General features: G+C 41.0%; 1 long non-coding RNA gene across 1 annotated transcript in view, besides 1 other annotated feature; it reads right to left on the bottom strand.

The window, feature by feature from the left end:
* CSRP3-AS1 (CSRP3 and E2F8 antisense RNA 1) overlaps positions 1–20,122 on the bottom strand; it is a 116,546-nt gene that overhangs the window by 90,060 nt on the left and 6,364 nt on the right. The window lies entirely within an intron of this gene.
* Positions 13,103–16,814: an enhancer, noted in NCBI's record as "VISTA enhancer hs2145". NCBI's record gives its function as "enhancer in: heart[4/6] | tail[5/6]" and the evidence as "EXISTENCE:transgenic organism evidence [ECO:0001131][PMID:17130149]".

Genomic DNA, 20,122 nt, shown 5'->3' with positions numbered 1-20,122 from the left:
CCAAGTACAGCTAGAAGAGGGCAGATTTGCACCTTGACCTAGAAACCCCTCTTCCTCCACCACTAGAGAACCAATATGAACTATTTCCTCCAAAGTACCTTTGTTTTTATCCTTCTTAGAGAACAGGTGAATGGTCTCTGATTTAAGAAATGGCCCCTGCCTTCAAGGTGCTTATAGTTGAGAAAGATAGTATGTACACATGAATAAATAAAGCATTTCCATGCAATAAAGAGAAAAGATAAGTTGCCCAGTGGTAGATAAAGACAAAATATATAGTTCTGTAGAGGCTACTAGATTTAATTGGTTACACGGAACTATGAGAGAAACACCAAGACAGACAGCTGCTGTGTCTCTGAGGAGGTTCTTACGTCTCCCTCCCACTTCTCCTCTGTGGTTGAGCTAGAGAGATTGGAAGCCAAGGTTTTGTTTTGTTCCCCTCATCAATTCTCCACATAAAGAATTACCTTCCTGGGGAAATTAGACGCATAGGAAGAAGGGAGGTGTTAGATTTCCAGGCAGCTCTGGACACTGTCCCACCCAGTACTGCTTCTCTGACAGGTTTGTGAGGTTGCCCCTTGATCCCCACCTCCTGGTGTTTACACCCTTGTGTTCTCCCCTCCCCTTGAGTGTGGCTGGGACCTGTAACTTACTTCTAACCAATAGGATACAGTAAAGGTGACGGGGCGTGTGACTGTGTGTGTGGTTATGTGGTCACATGTCATAAGACTGTGGTGCCCATCTTGCTGTAGTCTCTCTCCCTTGCTGGCTTTTAGGAATCAAAGCAGCCATGTCGGTGGGCCCAAAGTGGCAAGGGCCTGTGGGCAGCCTTTCAGCAAAAGGCAGGCCGTAGCCAACAACCAGCAAAAAACAAATCAGTCCTGCATATGGCCACAAATTCTGCAAACAACCTGAATGAGCTCAGAGTGGCTCTTTCCCCAGTCAAGCCTCAGATGAGACCACAGCTCCCAGTTCCACTTTGATCGCAGCCTTATAAGACCCTACAGAGGACCCAAACTGAGCCATGTATGGATTCCTGACACACAGAAACTATGAGACAATAAACATGTATTTTAAGATATAAGTTTGTGCTAATACTGTTATACAGCAATAGATAACTATTATAGCCACATAAACCCCCATTGTTCACAAAAGTCTTCCAGGTTTGTCCTATTATTGTTCATTGGTTTCACAGGCATTCATAGAAGGAAACATCGCTAAGACGTGGTAATTCCAACGGCTTTAATGGGAGAAGCACTCTCCATTTGTTTTCAAAGCTGGAAGCAACTTTAAAGATACTAGGTAGTAGCACAGTAGTGGACAAAGTTATCTGGCCAGCATGCAATGGGAAAAGTTTCTTTTCCCAAACTGCCTCCTTATTTCCTCTAAGGAATGACATTTTCCATGTTGGATGGAGCCCAGTGGACTGTAAATGTAACATCCAGCCTGGGCCAGCCCCCCGGGATTGGATGTTCCATCTCATCCTAGCAGTGTTGTTCTTGCTGTCTGTCCCTGCTGCAACTGTTGCTGAGGCTCCTGCTTCCCAGCCTCTGAAGTGGCCATGGCACCAGCCCATCTTCAAACCAGATTTTCAGCCATCCGCTGAGTCTGGGCCTTTGCTATCCTTCCAAGAGTTTCTTTTGCTTAATGTTGCCAGTCATTTCTGTGGCTGGTAGCCAAAGGGCTCTTACCAGATCACAGAAGGAAACCCAGAGCAAAGGCTTCCTAGTTCTCAGACTAGTTGTTCCCTGTTCCCTGGGCCTGGCAAAAGTCAGCCAAAGAATGAATAGAAAAGGCCTTCAGAAATGCTTATCTCGCCAGGAAATGCAAGCAACTCACCTATGCTCAAGTGGATGTAAAGTACAATTTCAGATACCAGAAAGGGAAGTAGTTGAACTAATAGATTCAAGAAACCCAGGAAACTCAAGCAATAGAATTTGATGAAAAAAAAATTTGTTAATCGACTTTAAAGCAAGTTCTCTCAGTCTTGTCCTTCCCAAGTGATTAGTGTTTCTGAAGATAAAGGATAAAGAGATTTTCAGAACTTAAAGCAGATAAGCTGCCTGAGCAATCCTACTAATTATATAAAAGAATGTGAGTTGACTGCAGATTCTTTACAGTACTTATCAGTAGTAGTTTTCATATCTTGAGGGCTTAAAATAAGAGATAAGCTCAAAGGAAATGTGTTATTATTTTAGGTTGACAAAAGGTATCAATTTCTTAGTCAACTTTTTAGGAAGTAGTTTTACATTTTAGTCTCCCATTTGAGTGAACACAGGCCAGTGACTTGCTCAATCAAATCAGCGGCTAAATGAGGACTTGTTATGATTGTCAACATTTTGTAGAAAAATGTAGGTAAGGAATATATTATCGTGTCCTCCAGCAGTCAAGTAATCAAGTGCATTTTTAAAAGGCCCTGTATATACTGAATTCTTTTTCAAGTATTTACTAGTTTTTACCATATGCTCAGCACTGTGTCATGCAAAACAATGCCTATATTATCCTATTTTGTTTCATAAAAATATCCTCTATGTGTGAATCTTCTAGAAGTTCATCGTGAATAAGAACAATTTTGTTACTATGAATTAAAATCTTTCTAAAATGATAATATAGCTCCCCATTTCCTAAATAGAGCACTGTACTTTGACTATAATTTAAACTTTTCTTCACATTTCAGAAATTCATGAGCACTGTTGCTTTGTTAAATTCAAATTCAACAAACACAGTTTAAGCCACCTATGATACCGTAATGCCTTCAGGGGCTAATAAATGTATAGGTCCACATCTTTTTCAAATTAATGGCTCCAGAATATTTTCCTTTTCAAGTTCTTTTTTTTTTTTTGTGGTTGTCTGTCTCCAACTTTGATATCAGCTTCTACTTGTCTTGCCCCTCTATCCTACCTTATGTATTATTTATATCTCAGATAGACATGTATATGTATATATGTTTTTATATGACTTTAAGTACATATATCTAAAAATATTATATGTAGCATCTCTTTTGCTTTATATGAATATGTACAGATATGTATTTATATGTAAAGATTCATGAGTACATATATATGTTTGCTTCCCTCCTATATGGCAAAATACCTTTATGGAATTGTAATTTATCTCTTCTGACCCAGGAAAATTGAAGGATCCCCAGGGAACTCATGTTACCAAACTCACTTTTCTAAACCAATAGATCTTGCATGTCCAAGTCAATAGATTTTGGTCTAACTGCCTAAGAAGGGCTCCATCCCTCTCCTGCAGGAAAAGGCTATGAATTGATGGCAGATGTTTCCCATGCCAATCAGTGTTTTTTATCACTATCCAACAAACTGGAACTTGTCAATACTTGCAACTAGGACCACGATGAAATGCCAGGAATGCTAAATATAAATTACATACCTATATTCATTATCAAAATTCAACACTTCCAGCGGCGTCCAAGGGAGAGAATACACTCATGGGCTCTTAGTTTCTATTTCTAGTTGAACCAGTAAAGCCCCTTTCTCACCCCTCTTTTCTGCTTATCACTAGAGACAGAAACTAAAAACCATAGCTTCAGGCTGCTCAAAGCCTAAAACTAAACAAAACAGAACAACAGCAAAATAAGGCGGGTTGAACAAGTTGGAGTTTGATAAAGTCATTTCTACCTGGAGACATTCTGAGAAAGAGGACAGGTCCTATATGACCCAGGGGAACAAGTGGCACTTGGGAGAGAAAAGGAATAATTTTTATTGAGCATCTACTATTATATCTACTTCCAAAGAGTATTGCGAGGTAGTTATTATTGGCCCCATTTTGAGGAAGTTAATTTCAGAAAGCTTGAGGGACAGACCCTGTGCAGCGCCAGCGTGTGCGTGCAGCTGTGCCTGGAGCTGAGGCCCGCACTCCAGAGCTTGGGCCGCCTGGCATCGTCATGCGTGTTCAGACTGTGGTGAGGCAGGCTGATTCCAGATTGTTCATGGCAAATGAGAACAGTGCTTCCATGGCATTAGTCCCAAGGCGTGGCCGCTGTTGCTATTTCAGGCTCTAAACTTGAGGTGATTTATTCCGTATCAAGTTGCTTAAGCCAGAACATTTCACGAAAACCCCTTCATGTTATGGTTGTGATTTTGAGCACCAAAGAGGAGTTTGCACACCATGTTGGAGGGAGAAAGGAAACAACCACCATTCCTCTCAGAAGGCCAGGGCAATGTGATGCAATGACGACACAAAAGTGTCCCTGACTCCAGCTGCCTGGCTGTCCTCCAGGTTTTGTCCACAGCCTCCTCCTGAGGGCGGGTCCTGCTGAAGAGCAGCTGCTCCAGCCCTGTCACCAGAAGCTTCCATGCAGACCCACAGAGGCACCAACCCCCTATATATTCCTCTACCACCAGCTCCTCCCGCACAGTCCCTCTGTGGTGGCTGGACATGCTCAGCTTCTCAGATTGTCCGGTTTGCGACTCCGATCTTCCAACGAGCCCTTTCCAACCTTTATTCCCCCAGTTTCTCTCACAATTGTGTAAGATCTGATTTCTGTAAGAAATCATTTACTTCATAACTCATAGAGATTCCGCTTCACCTGATTAAGCCCTGGCTATACAATACCATGTGGCACTTTTGAGAGGAAATGGGGCGAAAAAATTTCCAGAGAGAGCCAAGGGCCATCCACTTCCCAGTGCCCAGAGAATACGATGTGCCAGCAAGTTGGCACTTTGCAAGTTCTGAGCCATTTTAGTTGCCAGTATTTTCATAGCTGCAAATCCAGGAGCTGAAACATTTTAGGTCAAAGCACCCTTTACAAATGCCTTGCATGGAGCTCAGCCACTGCCAACTGCAGCTATCTGACCTGTTGTTGTTAACATGCTCAGAGGCTCTGCATCCAACATCTCACTTGACTCAACTCAGAGAAGTAAGACATGCACAACCTAGGAGCCAAAATCTGGCTTCAAGCCCCAGTTCAGACTCGCTAATAAGGCACTTAACCTGTCAGGGCTGGTTTCCTCTTGCATCCTTATAGAAGTGATCCCAAGGAGATGATTTCTGAGGTCCTTAGAAATAAATTTTTATGAAAAGCAAATTCAAACTCTCTGGCGATTCCTAGCACATAAGCAGAACCTGCGCTCAACCAAAAGAGTTTTATCAAATGTATGGGAAAGAGCTGATCCTAGGGAGGAAAGGAGGCTCTTAATGAAACCACTAATCTTCGGACTTGAGCACACATGATATTCCTCTTGGCAAACACTATATAAGGCAGATTTAAATTTTATTGCCGCTATTATTGCAAGAAGTTGTTATTTCCATGAAACTAATCTTACAGATTGGGAGACCATCCGTTCTCCTTTTGGTTTTAATATCTTGACCTTGCTATCAGTTACATATTTTTAATCTTCTCTGGGACCTTTGTCAAGATGACCTATGTGATCTACAGCTTCAGCTGAAATTTTGAGAGAAATGAATAGAATGGCACCTCATTAACAAGCATCTTTGTGAATGGGATATTCTGAATAATATAGAGCCTAAGGATCTCAGGGCTGGAAAGGACCCTGGAGATCGTCTTATCCAGGGCTTCACAAACTTCCAAGCTTAACCCTGACTTTGGGCCCCCAAATCAGTCCCAGGTTGGCTGTATTAGAAACACCAGAAAGCATCTTTGACAGATTCTTGGGCTTCTAATGGAGATGGGTCTAGGGTAGAACCCTTAAATCTATATTATTTCAAGCTTCCCAGGAAGCCAGCCATGGTAGCTTACACCTGTAATGCCAGCATTTTGTGTGTCCGAGGCAGGAAGATCACTTGAGCCCAGGAATTTGAGACCAGCCTGAGCAACATAGTGAGACCCATTTCTACAAAAAATATTTTAAAAATTACCTGGTCATGGTGGTGCATGCCTGTAATCCCAACTACTCAGAAGGCTGAGGTGGGAGGATCACTTAAACCTAGAAGGTAGAGGATACTGTGAGCCATGATTATACCACGGCACTCCAGCCTGGGTGACAGAGTAAGATCCTGTCTCAAAAAAATTATGTAAATAAACAAACAAAGTGTCTCTGGTAATTCTGATTTGTTGCTAGGTTTGATGACTAATGATCTGGGAAAATCACTGTCCAGTATTTAAATTGCCATTACAGAACTAGTGCTAAACACGACAAAGTAAGCCCATTACAGCCTATCTCCTCCACTGATTATAACTAAAATCTCTGGGCAGAATACAAACACTATTACCTGAGAGAAGAATAGCTTGTATGCCAGGGAGCTTACTGGGTTTTTCTTTCCTTCTTTACCTCTTGGCTTTGACATTGGAACCACCACCCTCAGAAGGCAAGACACAACTTGTGGTATGAACTTAACCAGCCTGGTTGCCTACCAAAATAAACAAAAGTCAACATTCTCCGGATTATTTTAACAGCACCTTTGACTTGTTTCCAGAACATACAACAAACTCTCAAAACTCTACAATAAGAAAACAATCCAATTTTTAGATGGATAAAAGATTTGAATAGTCACTTCACTGAACAAGATGTATAGTTAGCAAAAAAGCACGTTAAAAAATGCTCAACATCAGCCGGGCGCTGTGGCTCACGCCGGTAATCCTAGCACTTTGGAGGCTGAAGCAGGCCGATCACAAGTTCAGGAGATCAAGACCATCCTGGCTAACACGGTGAAACCCTGTCTCTACTAAAAATACAAAAATTAGCTGTACGTGGTGGTGTATGCCTGTAATCCCAGCTACTTGGGAGGCTGAGGCAGAAGAATCACTTGAACCAGGGAGTCAGAGGTTGCAGTGAGCTGGGATAGCGCCACTGCACTCCAGCCTGGTGACAGAGAGACTCCGTCTAAAAAAAAAAAAAAAAAAAAAAAGCTCACCATCATTATTTATTTATTAGAGAAATGCAAATTAACATCACACTGAAATACCACTACACATCTGTTAAAATGGCTAAAACTTAAGAAACAGCAAAATGAGATTGATCACAGCAAACGCTGGTGAAGATGCAGAGCAACTGGACGTGGTTAGTGGGAACCCACAGGCACTTTGAAACATGATTCGGGAGTTTCTTATGAACTTGCACATAGACTTACCATATGACCCAGAAATTCCACTCAGATATTTACCTTCAAAAATGAAGAGTTATGTGTACAAAAAACAATGCTGTATATTAATATTTGTAGCATATTTATTCATAATTGCCCCCAAACTGGAAACAAACCAAATAACAGCCCTTTATCCTGCTTGGTGTTCTCTGAGCTTCCTGTATTTGTAGTTTGGTGTCTGACATTAATTTTGGGAACTTTTCAGTCTTTACTGCTTCAAGAATTTCCTCTGTTTCTTTTTCTCTCTTCATCTGGTGTTCTCATTGTATGTTCTTTAAATCTTTTATAATTGTCCTACAGTTCTTGGATATTATGTTCCACTTATCATAAGTCTTTTTTTCCTTTGCTTTTCAGTTTGGGAAGTTTCTATTGACATAGCCTCAAGCTCACTGATCCTTTCATCAGCTGTGTCCAGTTGGCTAGTAAGCCCATCAAAGTCCTTCATTTTGATTACAGAGTTGATTTCTAACATTTATTTTATATTCTTTCTTAATATTTTCATCTCTCTGCTTACATGACCTATCTGTTCTTGCATAGTGTGTACTTTTTCCACTAGACTCCTTAATATATTAATCATAATTGTTTAAAATTCCTGTTCTAATAATTCAAACATCCCTGTCATTTCTGAGTCTGATACTGATGCTTGCTCTGTCTCTTCAAACTCTGTTTCTTGCTTATTAGCATGTTCTTGTAATTTTTTGTTTAAAGCCAGCTATAATGTACTGGTTAAATTAACTCAACACTAGTTCCCACTGAGATTTCTGCTCCAGTAAATTGTGGGTTCTTTGATCCATTCTCTGCCCAAATTGGGGAGAGCGGTTTGTCCTGTGATTTCAATTATTTCATGGAGCTAAGAAGAGCTGTTAGTTTTCAGTTTGTTCAGCTTTTTACTTGTTAGGATAAAGTGATGACTTTTTTTTTTTTTTTTTTTTTTTTGACAGTTTTGCTCTGTCGCCCTGGCTGGAGTGCAGTGGCGGGAGCTCAACTCACTGCAAGCTCCACCTTCCGGGTTCACGCCATCCTCCTGCCTCAGCCTCCCAAGTATCTGGGACTACAGTTGCTTGCCACCACGCCCAGCTTTTTTTTTTTTTTTTTTCCCAGTACAGACGGGGTTTCACCGTGTTAGCCAAGATGGTCTCGATCTCCTGACCTTGTGATCTGCCCACCTCGGCCTCCCAAAGTGCTGGGATTGCAGGCATGAGCTACCACACCTGGCCTAAAGTGATGACTTCTAATCTCCTAAAATGTTGGGCTAGAAGCCAGAAGTCCCCCGAGTATTCTTCAGCTGGTGAATGAATGGGCATGGTGGCACAACCATACAATCAACTACTACTCAGCAATAAAAAGGAACAAACCATGGATGAGTCAACAGTGTGGATGAATCTCAAATGCACTAAGCTAAGTGAAAGGAACCTTATTCAAAAGGCTAGCTACTGTGTGATTTCACTTATATGACCTTCTGGAAAAGGCAAAACTATAGGGATAGAGAGCAGATCAGTGGTTGCAAGAGCTTAGGAATGGGAATAGGTGTGACTACAAAAGAGTAGCTCAAAATAATTTTGGGGTGATGGTAGAACTGTTCTGTGTGTTGATCACAGTGGTGATTATGTGAATCTGTGCATTTGTCAGAACTTATGAAACTGTAATAAAAAGTACATACATTTAAAAGCATTTTAAAATTGCCATTACAACACCGCCATCCAGGTTGTTTCCAGGCTCTACTTGAAGGGTTCCTAAGGTGGGGAATTTACTATTTTCAGAGACCAGCAATCCCATCAATGCAGAGCTTCCCAATCACTGTGCTGGGACTGGGTTACAGGTTGGCAAGATATTAATCATCTCAGCCCTTAGGCAGGTGGGAACCGCTGTGCTACTCTTTTTCACCATGGGCTGTAAACATTATTTCATTTTCCAATTGCTGTAAATTGAAAAAGGATGCACTACCTTCTCAGACACTAATTTTCCTTTACATTGAAACAATATCAGTCTATCTATCTGCAATGTCTATTGGTCCTAGTTTTTCCCTTTCTTGGAACAAATTTCTTCCCTCCTAATATATATGACAGTTCATTAGATATTTGAAAGTTTGCTATAAGTTTTCATATTCCTACCATCACCAATTCATCTTTGAATAAATGTGCCTGGTCCCTTGGACTATTTCTCACATGGCATGTATTTAAGATTATCAATCCCTGGAACATGATCTTCATTTCCAATATTTATGCCAATTGCCATAATAGAACATGATACTCGATTTTCTTAGCCTATGCCAGGAAAATTTTTTAATGAAGGTTATTTCATGATTTCTCCTTTCACAGGTCTAGGAGAGTATGCATAATGCAGTCTTTCTTTACAGACTGAAAATATTATAGGGTCTGATGGTTGTTAGGTTTTGTGGTCTACCTGTACTGGCCCTATAGCTTCTGGAACTTCTTATTGCACTTTCAAATTCTAGCATTTGGAGACAACTCACTAGAAGAAACTCATAGAGAAACATCACCAAACAAGTCAACAATAACTATAACACAGCCTCCAGCACCATATCTCAGCCTCTGTAAAAGGGACCACATATATAAAAAGATCCACAGTTGTCATACTCTATACTTGGCCCCTTCCTAGCACCATGTCATCCTGTGACCAGAGCTCCTTATTGCCTTAACCACTTTCTCGCAAATACTCATGAGGCAAAATCCTCCCATCTTCTAGGAGACAGGAAACCTTTCTTAGGTTCCAGCTAATCTTCTCAGGAAAGTGTTCCTCACTCACACACATACACTTAGTTCCCCAGACTAAACACCTCACCATCTACTTAGTCTACATTCCGCTGGCGAAGGTTGCCGTGACAGTAGGTATACTCGGTGAGAAATAAATGTCATATCCTATGCACTTGTGGGATATTAGTTGAAGTCCCTTAACCTATGGCATGAGATATAGCAAAATTTAGGAAACAGGGTTGAAGTCTGCCACCCCAGGACATTCCCTCAATGAATATTTGAAATGCACATTCAAAGTTATAACTCAAATTTGAACACAGGTGATTTTTCTAACTTCTATTTCTACTAATTCATAAGTTCAGGAAATACAAATAAAATAAATCCTATTTCTGTGGACTGGGAAGACATTTCTGGATAGTTAATATTTCTGCTAAAGCAATTTAAAAGTGGAATTTAGCTTGAAAAGGTATATTTTAAAAAGGAAGAACATTTTTGCAGTGTTCTGCAAAAAAAAAAAAAAAACCTGCAAGAGATGCTGTCAAGAGAATGGGAAGACAAGCCACAGACTGGAATAAAATATGAAAATATGCAAAAGGCACATCTGATAAAGGACTGTTATCCAAAATATAAAAAGAACTCTTAAAACTGAAGAATAAGAAAATGAACAACCCAATTTAAAAAATGGTCAAAAGACCTGAACAGACACCTCACCAAACATATACAGGGAGCAAATAAGAAAATGAAAACATGCTCAATATCATATGTGATTAGGAAATTGCAAATTAGAACAACAATGAGATACCACTACACGTGTATTAGAATGGCCAAAATTCAAAACACTGACAACACCAAACGCTGGTGAGGATGCGGTGCAACGAGGGCTTTCATTTATTGCTGATGGAAATGCAAAATGGCACAGGCACATTGGAAGACAGTTTGGCAGTTTCTTAGAAAACTAAATTTACTTTTATCATATAATCCAGCAATCAAACTATTTGGTATTTACCCAAATGAGTAATGTCTGCACAAGAACTATGTCCTCATGAAAATCTGCACACAAATGTTTATGGCAGCTTTATTCATAATTGCCAAAACTTGGAAGCAACCAAGATGGTCATCAGTAGTTGAATACATAGATAAACTGTGGCACATCCAGGCAGGGGAATATTATTCAATGCTAAAAAGAAATGCACTCTCAAGCCATGAAAAGACATGGAAGAACCTTAAATGCACATTGGTAAGTGAAAGAAGCCAATATGAGACGGCTACAATCCTATGTGGTTTCAACTATATGATAGTCTGGAAAAGGCAAAACTATGGAGACTGTAAAAAGATCAGTAGTTGACAGAGGCTAGTGGAGAAGAGATGAATAGATGGAGCATAAAGGATTTTTAAGGCAGTGAAATTATTCTGTATGATGATATAATAGTGGATACGTGTCATTATACATTTGTCCAAGCCCACAGAATGAACAACCATAGGAGTGAACTCTGATGTCAACTATAGACTTTGGGAGATAATGATGTAACATTGTAGGCTCATTGATTGCAACAAATGTACCACTCCAGTGCAGAGTGTTGATAGTGGGCGGGGCAATGCATGTGTGGGAGCAGGGGATGTATGGAAACTCTGTATTTTCCACTCAGTTTTGCTGTGAACCTAAAATTGCTCTAAAATATAAAGACTATATTTTTGTTTTTGTTTTGTTTTGTTTTTTGAGATGGACTTTCACTCTTTTCACCGAGGCTGGAGTGCAATGGCATGATCTCTGCTCACTGCAGCCTCCGCCTCCTGGGTTCAAGCGATTCTCCTGCGTCAGCCTCCTGAGTAGCTAGGATTACAGGCATGCGCCACCATGCCCGGCTAATTTTGTATTTTTAGTAGAGACCGGGTTTCTCCATGTTGGTCAGGCTGGTCTCAAACTCCCCACCTCAGGTGATCCACCCGCCTCGGCCTCCCAAAGTGCTGGGATTACCTGCGTGAGACACCGCGCCCGACCAAGACTATCTTTAAGAAATTGGAATACAGCACTTCAGAATATTGGGGGACTCTCAGATCTCTTCTTATATAAAGGGTAATTGTCACAGCATCCATTAAGGGGCAGTGACACCGCTGCACACACCACCTTGAAGATTCTGATTCTCTTTGGACCTGTGTCACTTTGTAGAATGCATTCCCCGAGGACCCGAGTTTTAAACTCGACATGCAAGCATCTTCTCCTTTTACTCCAAACCATCTTTCGGGGGGGCTTGACGACTTAACTCCTTCGTCTTTGTGAACACAAAAGATCAACTAATCTTTCTGAGGTCTTTTTCTTCTCCTGATGTGAGGCCTTCCAACTTTAAAGGAGCAGAACTCTGATGTTTTAGCAATAAGGAGTTTTTTTGGTTGTTAGCTGCGTCTGCCTTTTTCTGTTTTTGTTTTTCCCCATATCAGGAGTTCTCACTTCATAAAATACCGTGTACCATTTCTAATACCCACATTTTTTGGTAATAGGGTCATAGTAGGACAAAGATGTTTTTATGACAATGTAGAAAGTTTACCCTTTGTTGGTTAAGCTCCATCATGCTCCAAGGGAAGTAAAGACTTAGTTTTCCTAACTGGAAAATAAGAATTATCAAATTATAGAATTAGCACCGGCCGGGCGCGGTCGCTCACACCTGTAATCCCAGCACTTTGGGAGGCCGAGGCGGGCGGATCACGAGGTCAGGAGATCGAGACCATCCTAGCTAACACGGTGAAACCCCGTCTCTACTAAAAATTAGCCGGGCGTGGCGGCGTGTGCCTGTAGTCCCAGCTACTCGGGAGGCTGAGGCAGGAGAATGGCGTGAACCTGGGGGGCGGAGCTTGCAGTGAGCCGAGATCGCGCCACTACACTCCAGACTGGGCGACAGAGCCAGACTCCGTCTCAAAAAAAAAAAAAAAAAAAGAGAGAGAGCACCTTAGGAATCATCTGCCTCACACGAATATTCTGTAAGTAAGGAACTAGAAAGGAGAACTGACTTGTCAGAGGGCACACAGCTAATTAATAGAAAAGTTAAGACTAGAAACCCATAACTATTCATTCCAATCCAGTGTTATTACACTATAGACACAGCACAAACTTATTGGGAAAGCCAAAAAAAAAAAAAAAAAAGGCTCCCAGCTATTATAAAAATGCATCCAATCTTTATGTTTAGATGGAGTGGCTATAGACTTAAGTAAGTAAATGTTTTTTGCTGAATTTGTGCTTTATCTCTTGCAGCTTATCTCAGATATGGTAGGAATGTAGCCCTTTCAAGACCTCTCAAAATTATTCAGCTACATGAATAAATTCAACTTCAACTTCTAAATGCCTACGAGGTGCTAGCATTGAGGACCCAAAGACAAATAAGATGCTCTCTTTTTTACAGAGGAGTTCACCATCTAATGATCCAAAAAGACACGCATACAACCAGACAAAGTTCCCCATAATGAGAGCATGTTTTAAGGTCCCAGTGCAGAGTATCACATCCTACCTGGAAAGGTTAGGGATGGAGGCTTCCCCTGAAGAGGCCATTTGGGCTGTTTATTGAAGGATGAGGAAGATTCCACCAGAGGGAGGAGGTGAAGGAGGCGGAGGACATTCCAGGCAGAGGAGGGAGCATGAGCAAAGCGTAGAGGCATGAAAGTACTGGCTATTTTTGGAGAACAGTGATTAGACTGAAGAGGTTGGTAGATAGGATAAAGGAAAGTGGGATGGTGGGAGAAGAAGTGGGAAAGTTAATCTGGAGCAAGATGAAGAAATTTGAAAATGATGTCAAAATTTTTAACATGATCTTATAGTAAGGGGGCACTAACAGAAGTCTGCGAGCTGAAGGGTGCCATCATCAGATCCAGGTTTTGAAAGATGACTCTGGTGGTGGTGTAACAAATGGAAGGGAAGTGGGAAACCTGGGTGGGGGGCTTCTGAAAAAGTCTAGGCAATACATCTGAACTGGGGCAATAAGAAGAGGAGGCACAAAGGAAGGGCTAAATTCAAAAGACATTGAAGTGCCTGTTGTTGACACAGGTGAAGAGTCATAAAGACTACACAGCCCATGGAAACACCTCCTAAGACAATCCCACTGATCCACTCTGAACCTCTGCAATTTGATTTACTTCTGTCGATTTGCTGGCCATGTGATACCCACTTTGGGGACTTGTGCTGCTCCAGGCTTCTCCTAAAGGCTTTGTACCAGCTGAATAGCAAATGTAGGCACAGCCTCTTCTGAATCTGTCGGACTGTTTCTGTAAAACCCTGCTAATCTCTCAGTGCAAGATAAAGTTAAGCTGGTACGTTGGCTATGTGGGTGCTCAGCCCCACCCTGTCCTCTCTCCCAACTACATAATGCCAACTAGATCAAATTCTGACTAAAGCAATTCTACTAGTTAAAATTTCCATCAGAGCATTGGCTCTGGAACAGAGAATCTGAGTTCAAGGTTTGACTTTACCATATACTAGCTGTGTAACCTAACTTCTCAAACAAAGTTCTTCATCTATAAAAAGGGGATAATAACACCTATATCTTCCCTTTGATTCAGAGAGAGGCAGAAACAGAGATAAAGGGACACAGAGGAGAGAAATTGCACCCAAGAGAGAATCAAACACATCATAGTGCTTTTAAGCTGAAAACACTGTTATCACAGCAAGCAGTGAATGGCCATGAAAATAAGGAGGCCCGTTTTTAAAAATCTGGATGATGTAAATAAATGAGCCATTTGTTTCATCAAGTCTCATTTCATTTCAGTAAAGATGACATTTGTTATTATTTCTTGGAAAAAAAGAACCATCTTGATGCACTTATGTGTTGCTTTGCCCATTTCCATGCTTTTCACAGACGCAACGCATGGTCAGGAGCAACCTCTGAATGGTAGGTTAGAGTTAATTCTCTTTTTGAAATAAGAGCCAGTGACAAATATCAGACCACTGGTGCACAGAAATAGTGAAAAGCCCTAGTTACTCAAAGAATGTGGCTGACATTGAATACATTATGGTCCAATTATGTTTCTTTTCAGAGCGGTTTAGATGAGCAGATGGAAGCTGAGATTCCCAAGCCTGCAAGTCCCTCTCACAAAATGTTCCCTCTTTTATGTGGCATGGTTTAGATCAGTGATTCTCAAAGTAGGAGGTGGGGAGCCCCCTAGGAAACATGAGAAATAATGCTAGAGTATGAGACAAAAGATTGAGACTTGTATTCTATTTAATATCTTTTTAGTGCATCATTGTGAATATGTTTTATACTGTGTGTGTGTTTGTGCACGTGTGTATTGCTCAAAAATGTTTTATGAGGGGACCATAATCAAACACATTTTGGAACCATGTTGTGGAAGGGTTTTGGGTTAGATCTGGGTTTGAATTTCCTCATCACCTTTGTGATGTGTGTTTCCCCCTGACTTACTAATTTTTAGTTATCCTAAGGAATACGAATGAGGAAGCAATGGATACTGGTCCTAACATCGCCGTGAATTTCCCGTTGACCTAACTGTGTGGCGTAAGAGATTTAGTTCATTTTCATGGACTGCATTTATTTCATTCCTCATTCATACCAGGGGAAGAATAATAATGCCTTCTTGACAAAGTTCTTGTGAGGATTAAATAAATCACTGTTTCTAATTGAGCTCTCTTTTTCTGATTTGGGGTATAAAGGCAGTGTTTTAAGGCATGTGATTTCAGGTCGCCCTCACTGTCCTGGTTCACGCTTTTGCCTGGTCTCCTTCATGCCCTCTGTTTCTCAATGGTTCACCTGTTTATGGTAATTCTGGGAACAATGAGGCAGAAACAGCAGGTTCCAGTCCCAGCACCACCAATTCACTTGCCATTGAGTGGACGTTCAGCTTGTACTGATTGAGCACCCTGCTGTGTGCACAACACGGGCTTACTGTCACCTATTCCTCATAGCATCTCAAAAGGGATTTAGGAATTTCTTCACTTTTCAGATTCAGAAGATGTAGAGCAGTGCTGTCCAAGAGACCTTTCTGCAGTGATGGAAGCATTCTGTAGCTATCCTCTTCACTGTGGAGGCACTAGTCACATGTGGCTGTTAAGCACTTGGAATGTGGCTTCTGTGACTGAGAAACTGACTTTTACATTCTACGTATCTTAAATAATTTCAACTTATATAGCCACGTGCAGTTATGGCTACTGTGTTGGACAGCACAGTGCTGGAGAATGCTGACAGACCCTAGAACTCCAGAAAGTGATTTAAAAGAAAATAAATTAGAGAGAACACTGAAAACAACACCATAAAAAGAAGTGTCCACTAACAAGTGAGAAATTTCAAAGAATTCCAGAGAGAAAGCAGAAGGCTGTGGATTAACAGAGCGAGAAGTCCTGGCCACAGCAGTGTAGCAGCGTGTGGCGAGGCAGGAGCTGTCCTGGGACATCCCAAACTTGCATGTCCTGGGACATGCAGAGTGGAAGGCACCCTGGGCTATCACAAGGGTGATGGATAAGAAGATGGGTCCAGGGCTAGGAGCTTTCCTCACTTTCCAGTGTGGCTCCAGACTAAGGGGCCAGAAATCCCAGGGAACTCCCCATAGAACCAGTGACCTCCAGAGAGAGTGGGACAGCTCACACCCAGGAAACACACCGCCACTGCACACACCTGGTAGCAGGCTCCATCCCTGTCCCACAGTCCCTGCGGGAAAGCTCCTTTAATCAGAGGTGGTATCCACCAAAAGGAAAACAGAAATTCTCAAATGACATGGTAAACACATATCCAAAAATCCCAAATATAGTTGAAAAACCAGCACTATGAAGATGAAACACCAAACTCAACACACAAAAGAACAAATATCCAAGAAAACATAATTGATAGAGCAAACAAAGAAGACTTCCCCCAAGTTAGTATAATGAATATCCCCAGAGAGATGCAAGATGATATGTCATTTATAAAGCAAGGATGGGCTATATGAAAAAATTAGGTATCTTAAAAATTATAAATGTAATTATTTTAAAATCAGTAGATGAGCTGAGCAGAATGTACATGGAGGAAATGCAAATTAGTTCCATGTAAGATTGAGCTAAGGAATTCTCCCTTAATAAACATAAAAGGACAAAGAAATTCTAACTTCTAATGAGAGTTTCAGCAAGAGGAAACATTACATATAGGGAGGGATTAATGAGAGAAATAATAAAAGGAAATTTCCTAAAGGAAAAAAAGTGAGTTTTCAAGTTGAACTCATCCACTAAATTTCAAGCAAAATAAAATTTAAAAGGCCGTAACACAGGAAATTGTCATAAAATTCAAGAGAAGATCCTGAAAGTTTCTAGAGGAAACAAGACAAGTCAATAAAGGAACATGAATATGACTGGCACCAAACTGTCATGTACGTTACTAAAAATAATTGAAGACAGTTTTCAAAGGTCTGACTGAAAATTATTTTGGATAGAGATTCCTAAATTTAACCAAACTAGCATTCAAGTGAAAGCAAAATGAAGACTATGAGGGGCGGGATAGTGTCCCTCCAAAATTCGTATGTTGAAGTCCTAACTCCCAGTAGCTCAGAACGGGACTGTATTTAGAGATAGGGTTCTTAAAGAGGTAATTAAGTTAAAATGAAATCATATGGGTGGCTCCTAATCCAATATGACTGCTGTCCTTGTAAGAAGAGGAAATTAGGACCCAGATACACAAGGAAGACCGTGTGCAGATACAGAGAGAAAACAGCCATCTACATTCAGAAGAAACCAACCCTGCCAGCACGTTGGTCTTGAACTTCCAGTTGCTGGAATTGTGCAAAAATAAGTTTCTGTTGTTTAAACCAGCCTGTCTATGGCATTTGTTACATTATGTGATAATTCAGTAAGTTTACAGCAGACTCTCTCAATGAATTCATCGAGAATGATTTACCTCACACACACACACACACACACACACACACACACATGCACACACACAGAATTAAAAATGTAAGGTACAAAAAGTAAATAAAGAACAGTAATTGGGAGGCTGAGTTGGTTGGATCACCTGAGGTCAGGAGTTCGACATCAGCCTGGCCAACACGGTGAAACCCCGTTTCTACTAAAAATACAAAAATTAGCCAGGCATGGTGGTGGGCACCTGTAACCCCAGCTACTTGGGAGGCTGAGGCAGGAGAATCACTTGAACCCAGGAGGCAGAGGTTGCAGTGAGCTGAGACTGCGCCACTGCACTCCAGCCTGGGTGACAAGAGCAAAACTCCATCTCAAAAAACAAACAACAACAATAACAAAACAGTAATTGAGTGAAGAAAGCACTAAAATTTATCATTAGGTTTAAGTAAGTACTAACCCATAATGAACAAAACTAATTACAATCCAAAACTGAAACTACACATCATGTTGTGGGGAGGTGTGTAAAGGCAAGTTCAGAATGTGCAAAGAGGGCAAGACGTGACGGTCAAAGTGCAGCATTCATTTCAAGCAAGGAAGCTCCTTTTATTTTTTAATGCTTAATTATAACTTTATTTTTTCCTTTGTTCTCCTAAAAAAATAAAACGGGATACATGTGCAGAGTGTGCAGGTTTGTTACATAGGCATACGTGTGCCACGGTGGTTTCTGCACCTATTGATCCATCCTCTAAGTTCCCTCTCCTCACCCATCCCCCACCCCACAGCAGGCCCTGGGGTGTGTTGTTCCCCTCTCTGTGTCCATGTGTTCTCATTGTTCAACTCCAACTTATGCATGGAAGCTCCTCTTTATTTATTTATTTATTTATTTATTTATTTATTTATTATGCTTTAAGTTTTAGGGCACATGTGCACAATGTGCAGGTTAGCTACATATGTATGCATGTGCCATGTTGGTGTGCTGCACCCATTAACTCGTCATTTAGCATTAGGTATATCTCCTAATGCTATCCCTACCCCCCCCCCCCCACCCCACAACAGGCCCCGGTGTGTGAGTTCCACTTCCTTGTCCATGTGTTGTCATTGTTCAATTCCCACCTATGAGTGAGAACATGCGGTGTTTGGTTTTTTGTCCTTGTGATAGTTTGCTGAGAATGATGGTTTCCAGCTTCATCCATGTCCCTATAAAGGACATGAACTCATCATTTTTTATGGCTGCATAGTATTCCATGGTGTATATGTGCCACATTTTCTTAATCCAGTCTATCATTGTTGGGCATTTGGGTTGGTTCCAAGTCTTTGCTATTGTGAATAGTGCCACAGTAAACATAAGTGTGCATGTGTCTTTATAGCAGCATGATTTATAATCCTTTGGGTATATACCCAGTAATGGGATGGCTGGGTCAAATGGTATTTCTAGTTCTAGATCCCTGAGGAATCACCACACTGACTTCCACAATGGTTGAACTAGTTTACAGTCCCACCAACAGTGTAAAAGTGTTCCTATTTCTCCACATCCTCTCCAGCAACTGTTTCCTGACTTTTTAATGATCGCCATTCTAACTGGTGTGAGATGGTATCTCATCGTGGTTTTGATTTGCATTTCTCAGACCTAAAACCATAAAAACCCTAGAAGAAAACCTAGGCAATACCATTCAGGACATAGGCATGGGCAAGGACTTCATGTCTAAAACACCAAAAGCAATGGCAACAAAACCAAAATTGACAAATGGGATCTAATTAAACTAAAGAGCTTCTGCACAGCAAAAGAAACTACCATCAGAGTGAACAGGCAACCTACAAAAATGGGAGAAAATTTTTGCAATCTACTCATCTGACAAAGGGCTAATATCCAGAATCTACAATGAACTCAAACAAATTTACAAGAAAAAAAAACAGACAACCCCATCAACAAGTGGGCGAAGGATAGGAACAGACACTTCTCAAAAGAAGACATTTATGCAGCCAAAAGACACATGAAAAAATGCTCATCATCACTGGAAGCTCCTCTTTTATCTGCTTTATATACTGATTTTCCTCTTATCTACAGAAAAAAGTATTCTGATGCAAACACACACACAAAAAAAATTTTAAAGCTACTATTGGTTGACCAGTTTCAGTGACTCAAGCCTGTAATCTCAGCACATTGAGAGGCCGAGGTGGGCAGATCACTTGACCCCAAAGTTTGAGACCAGCCTAGGCAAAATGGTGAAACCACATCCCTACAAAAAAATTAGCCAGGCGTGCTGGTGTGCGCCTATAGTCCCAGCTACTCAGGAGGCTGAGACAGGAGGATTGCTTGAGCCCAAAAGATCGAGGCTGCAGTGAGCTGTGATCATGCCACTGTACTCCAGCTTAGGCAACAGAACGGGACCATTTCTCTAAACAAACAAACAAACAAACAAACAAAAGCCACTATCCTAGACGATTTCTAAAGTCCTTTCTAGCTTTAACTTTCTAAAATCCTCGTGATTGCCTCGTCTTTATGATGAAGATGCCATTTAGTGAAAACACA

This window comes from Homo sapiens, chromosome 11 (assembly GCF_000001405.40).
Source record: "Homo sapiens chromosome 11, GRCh38.p14 Primary Assembly".
Classification (NCBI taxonomy): domain Eukaryota; kingdom Metazoa; phylum Chordata; class Mammalia; order Primates; family Hominidae; genus Homo; species Homo sapiens.
The sequence above is the reverse complement of the archived record's forward strand: the minus strand, read 5'-3'. Positions and strand labels throughout refer to the sequence as shown.